General features: G+C 44.2%; 1 annotated feature.

Moving 5' to 3' along the window:
* Positions 5,166-6,062: an enhancer, noted in NCBI's record as "OCT4-NANOG hESC enhancer chr12:128091742-128092638 (GRCh37/hg19 assembly coordinates)". NCBI's record gives its function as "activates a minimal SCP1, AML or CMV promoter by ChIP-STARR-seq in naive H9 embryonic stem cells {active_cell/tissue: H9 hESC(naive)}" and the evidence as "EXISTENCE:reporter gene assay evidence [ECO:0000049][PMID:30033119]".

Raw genomic sequence — 6,438 nt, 5'->3', positions numbered from 1 at the left:
CCTACCGGTTGATTGGCCTGCTCCATTTTCTGTCCACCAAGGTTTGTTTGTCTGAGGGCCATGACTAATGCTGTGGCCTTTCTCTTATCTTGCTTTTCCTTTTCAGCCTGTTCCTCTTGGTCCCTATTACAGAACACTGAGATTGCCAGGTTTAATAATGCCTCCAAATTTTGTTCCGGGCCCATGGCTAGCTTTTGAAGCTTTCTCTTGATATCTGTGGATGATTGGGTAATAAACTTATCTTTCAGGATCTATTGACCCTCGAGGGAGTCGGGTGACAGGGGAGTATATTTTCTTAAGGCCTTCTGTAGCCACTTGAGGAAGGCAGAAGAATTTTCTTCCTTTCTCTGAGTTATGGTAGACATCACTGAATAATTCACAGGCTTTTTCCTAATTCTCCTTAGTTCTTCTAGAACACAGGTCAACAGATGTTTGCGACTCCAGTCCTCATGATCTGAGACGGGGTCCCAGTGGGGATCCATACTGGGGATGGCTTGGTGACCAGTAGGGAATTTGTCCTTTTCTTTGGCTGTCATTCTATCATTTACTTGACTAAGATACCAGGTATCTCCAAACTCTTGGGCTGCAGCTAAAGCTGCATTCTTTTATTAAAGGCCAGGGTTTGATCTAAGAATAGCATGACATCTCTCCAAGTGAGATCAAAGGTTTGTCCTGTAGAACATCTATGTAACTATTAGGATCACCTGAAAATTTCCCCAGGTCTACTTTGATCTGCTTTAAATCAGAGAGGGAGAAGGGGACATGTTCCCAGGTTGGGCCAAATTCCCCTTCCCCTACAGCTTGAAGGGGACAAAACTGATAACCTGGGGTGGGTGGGGGAGGGTTGTGGTGCCTTGGAGATTTCTTTGCTTGTTTTCTTCTGGGTGGGGGAGATTAGAGGAGGCTCACCATTAATAGGAAGGGGAGCTGTAGGGAGGCTAGGATATGGGGGTAAGCTGAGAGGTCCTCCTGTGGAATGTAGATTGCAAGCTTTGCATAGTTGTGGATTATCCTTCAATGAAAAGAAAGCTTGGACATAACGTATTTCACTCCATTTGCCTTCCCTCTTACAGAAAAGATCAAGCTGCAGGATAGTATTGTAATTCATACTTCCCTCAGGTGGCCATTTTTCCCCATCAGAAAGAATATTGGGACCAGGCCATAGTGCAGAAAAAAAAAAGCCACTTCTTTTTCAGAGTTTGCAGGTCAAAGTTGTTCCAGTGGCTTAGGATATATTTCAAGGGTGAGCCTGTTGATGCCTGAGTGTTTCCCGTCTGAAAGAAAAAACTGCCCACAGTTTTGGTTTTTTTTTTTCCCCTGCCCAAGAACCCGCCATGGTCCCTGGACCCTGCTGCTTGGAATAGTTGTGCTCACTGAAGCAGCAGCGGAAACACTAGTTTTCTGCCTAGACCACAAAGAAGACTGAGGAAGGTCAGATTTAGTGGCCCTTACTGATGCCTTCTCTAAAACCTGCACCCTTGCCTTTCATCTTAGACCACAAAGGGGACCGAGAAAGATCAGATTTAGTGGCCCTTACCAACACATTCTTGAAAACCTGTTAGAGTCCTAAGCATTTTCTCCTGTTGGTATTGGGACCTTACCCTTGTCCTATAAAGATGATATGCCTCAAAATGGAGTGGAGGGCCATATCCTGAGGGAGGGAAGGGATCTCCATGGTTGGAAGAGTGACACATTTTGTCCTCACTTCTCATCATATGAATAGGAAGGATATTCCCCTAATTTTGGAGTCTATGATTTCTGAGGCTCCCCATATCCTAGCTTTGGGAATAGCCTTTGTTAAACCTGCTAGTCTGAGGAGGGATCCTAAAATTCCAGATAGTCGCCCCCGATGGGCTTTGGGCAAAAATTATGTCTTTCTGATTGGTGAACCCAAGTGCCTAAAGAAGGGAACAGAGTCCTGGAATTTATTTTAGAAATCATCCTTATAGGGGAAACTAGAAGAGCACCAGGGACAGGGTGTCGTTTTTAGAAGCAGGACTAGCCTCAGAGAAGAGAGGCAAGAGGAAGTTTGTCTGACAGGCATTAGGACCCAGGAGACAAGGGTCAGGATAGATAGGATAGATGGGCGAATCTCGCTTGGGTGACTTAACTTTAAGAGTTCCACTCATGGCTACAGGGTCAACCAACTTTTTGTCGGGAACCCGGGGGTGAATGGCTTTCCTCCCTTTTGACCCTTGGCTCAGCCTAGAAGTGCAGGAAAAGCAGAAGCTGATTCCAGGCAAGCCAATGCTCCTGACTCTGAAGAGTTGGGGGCTGTTAGAGAGCCCTTTCCTAGAAAGCCTGACACCCGTGTCTTTAGCCCGGCAGCCATGCTAGTCACTTTTAACTGGTTGACAGGTGCCCGGTGTTTAGCCCCCTAATTCTAAGGAAAAATAGGACAGAATAGCAAGCAAAAGGGGTCCAATGGTACTCACTGCATGGCGATATCCCAGATGAGCCCCCAGGATGTGTCCGGAGTTGGTTCCTTCTGGTGGGTTTGTGGTCTCACTGACTTTAAGAAAGAAGCCGCGGACCTTTGTGGTGAGTGCTATAGCCCTTAAAGATGGCACGGACCCAAACAGTGAGGAGTAGCAAGGTTTATTGTGAAGAGCGAAGGAACAAAGCTTCCACAGTGTGGAAGGGGACCCGAACGGGTTACCACTGCTGGCTGGGGTGACCAGCTTTTATTCCCTTATTTTTCCCCTCCATGTTCCGTTTTTGTCCTATCAGAGTGCCCTTTTTTCAATCCTCCCTGATTGACTACTTTTAGGATCCTGCTGATTGGTGCATTTTACAGAGCACTGATTGGTGCCTTTTACAATTCTCTTGTAAGACATAAAAGCTCTCCAAGTCCCCACTCAACCCAGGAAGTCCAGCTGGCTTCACCTCTCAGTGGCATGCATATGTAGTCCCAGCTACTCGGGAGGTTGAGGCAGGAGAATCACTTGAACCCAGGAGGTGTAAGGTCAGCTGAGAGAAAGGAATAATAGACCCAAAGTCAGGTGAATAAGTTTATTGAACCTGCCAGCTGCTCCACTACAGTCAAAGGATGCAGCCCTGAGCTTACAAAATGAGGGGTTTATATGGGGGAGAGAGACCCTGGGGTCGTTTGTTGGTTAACTTTGCCGTATGTCACCTTGTGACATTTTTGGTAGCAGCTAGATGAAGGAACTTATAGGAGGATGTAGCTAAAGTTTGTTTATGCTTCCCACAACCTTCCCCTGTGCAGTCTGGATGGTTTGTAATTGGGGTTTGCTTATTGCAGCAAGTTCTGATAAATGAAGTCTGCTGGCTTCACCATGGTGCCTAGATAAGGGCTTAGAAATGTAAAGGGGCTCAGGAGGAAGAGTAAGTGGCACAGAAAAGAGTTGCAGAGCATAATGGGGAGGGGTGGGCAGCACGGAGAGTGTTGGGGGAAGTGTCGGCAGTAGCAAGAAGTTATTTTGGGGCAGTTTGTCTCTAACAGGAGGCAGAGGTTGCAGTGAGCTGAGATTGTGCCACTGCACTCCAGTCTGGGTGACAGAGCGAGACTCTGTCTCAAAAAAAAAAAAAGTATGTGTTTCACATTAACCATTCTGATACTGCCAATGTGTATTCTAACATAGAACAATTAAACTAATCAAATGGCTGAGAGCGGGACTTTAGAGATAAGCAGAGGAAGAGGTGAAACAATCCACATGTGAATTGATTACAGTTGGAGACACCCTGAGAAATTCATGTTGAACTTAATGCAGATGCAGATGGTTACATGCAGAAATATTTATAGTTATATGGATGTAGGGGCTAGTATACACATGTGTATTTCCTTTCCGTCAGCTACAAGAACCTAAAAGATACAACACTGGGCAACAAAGCACAAACCCAGTTCCCAGATCTTGGTTTGTAATATTCTCCAGTAGAAGAAGCTAGGGCTCCTGAGAGAAATGGATGATCCTAGGATGGGACAGGAAATATACAAGAGGAACATACATCTTATAGTACTATAAAGTAAGAATGTGCTCAAAAACGTACATTGATGGAAATATGTGAAAGGGAGACAGGGGCTAAGTGAAAGAGCTCCCTGTGGCCAAAGCTGCAATCATTTAAAAAAGAAATATTGACCAGCTAAATAAAAACATCTTGTATTATAACTCAAAGCATATACTAGATATTCATGGGTCCATACTGATATAAATGAATTGTTGAATACACAATTAAATGTTGGAAAAGAGACAACATTTTCCTATGAAGGAATTTCAAATAATTTATGTAAATATTCTACCCTTGAAGAAGGAGCTCATACCTAACTCCTCCCCACCAAGAAAATGTGGGCTGTGCACGGTGAGTTCCTTTCATACAGTATAGTATGCAAAGGGGAAAAAAGAGTCACTCTACAGTGGAGACGCTTGAGAAACACCATCTCAGCCAGGGATCACTGCCAACACCAACAGTGATAAATCATGTACCCCGATATGATGCTATGAAAGCGACATTTTACTTTTGAGGTATTCCCCCAAAAGCCCTTAACCCTAGTTAAACATGAAAGCACACACATGCATGCATACACACACTGGCACACCTACCTGACAAATTCCAATAGAAGGACCTTGTAGAAAATGCCTCATCAGTACCACTCAATATTGTGAATTCATCAAAGAGGCAAGTCAGAAACAATCACAGACAGGAAGAGCCCAAGGAGACATCAAAACTAAATGTAATGTGATATTGTGGTCAGAATCCCGTAACTACATTTTATTTTACTTAGTGTGAAAAGTACAGGCTGGCCGCGGTGGCTCACGCCTGTAATCCGAGCACTTTGGGAGGCCGAGGCAGGCGAATCACCTGAGGTCAGGAGTTCAAGACCAGCCTGGCCAACCTGGTGAAACCCCATCTCTACCAAAAATACAAAAATTAGCTGGGTGTGGTGGTGCATGCTTGTAATCCCAGCTACTCTGGAGGCTGAGGCAGGAGAATTGCTTGAGGTTGTGGTGAGCCGGGATCGCACCACTGCACTCCAACCTGGGCGACAAGAGTGAAACTGTATCTCAAAAAAAAAATTTTTTTTGAAAGTACATTAGGTAATAACAAAAAAAGCTCAATAATATATCAACATGGGCTCATTAATGTGTGTGTGTATGAATTTATGAATTCTTAGAACAGAAAGATGAAGCACTACTTTTATTCCCAATGTGTAAATGTGGAAACTGATAAATGTGGAGTTGAAGTACTCATCTAGGCTCATTGAACTGCAAGTGGCAGAACCAAAATAAAGCCCCAGACAGGCCAACCACAGTGTCTACTTCTCACCTTGTAAGGCACTCAGGAAACTTGTGTTGACTTTTGCAAGTAGAAAACAAATGGCTAATCTAAGAAAAACACAATTGGGAAACGGGGAATGAAAGGTAACCATCAAGCTCTTCCGAAACGCCCGGGCTGTGCTCCAGGCCTCTGAGGGAGCTACCTAATGAGTAGGTTAAGAATGAGAGAAGTTTATGTGCATTATTTGGATGCATCATTTTGTGTAATGTTAACAACAACGCTATCAGGTCAGTAATATGATTATTCCTATTTTCCAATCAGAAATCTGAGGCTCAGAGAATTTCAGTAATTTTTCTCAAGTCAAATTGTGACTGATGAGTAGTCTGGCTGCCAAGCTCCTGTCTCACCAATACCCTCTGGCCTCTATCACCACTAATGGGTGGCAGAATAGAATCCATCTGACCCCCACGCCCAGACCATTGTCATGCACAGTGGGTTGCTTCCTTAGGGCCTAGGCCCTGAGGGTTGGTTTTACCGTCTTTACAACGATGTCTGGGCTCCAGGAGCATCAGATCCACAGTCCTCTCTCTGCTTCCTCACCTTCTGTTGGAGGCCACAGAGATCCTCCAGCCCTTGATCTGGCTCAGCTCCCTGTCGAAGCTCTGAATCCGCAGGGAGAGTCTGGACACCCATATGGTCACCTTGAACTAAGAGCGGGGGTGCTGGACGTGAAGTCCACAATCCTATCCATTTTGCTCTTCATTTTCTTCCTACTCACAAATACAAATTCATGGTTGTTAGATACCTTTGGGGAAAAAATGAGCTGTTGAGATGCATCCACAGAAACAACACACAGGCAAAAATCCACAATGAGATTTTACGAAACCAGAAGTGCTCTGATTCTCTAGACACCAAAACAACCAGACCAAGAGGACTTTTATCTAACATGACTTTTTAAAAGCATTTAGTCCTAATCAATTATAACTAGTCAAACTGTAAGCATAATTTTATGGAATCGCATAATTTCATCTGTGAGTGTATGTGTGTGTGTGTGAGTGTGTGTGTTCCTTACAAGATGTATTCAATCCTCCATAAATCAAATCTTGGGTGCATCAAATTTTATGCTTGAGCCATTTTTGACAATGCATAAATGTTGGCCATATGGTACTAAAAAATAGTTTTATGTCAACCATAAACAGG

The sequence above is a fragment of the Homo sapiens genome, chromosome 12 (assembly GCF_000001405.40).
Source record: "Homo sapiens chromosome 12, GRCh38.p14 Primary Assembly".
Classification (NCBI taxonomy): domain Eukaryota; kingdom Metazoa; phylum Chordata; class Mammalia; order Primates; family Hominidae; genus Homo; species Homo sapiens.
This window is presented reverse-complemented; position numbering and strand designations above follow the sequence as displayed.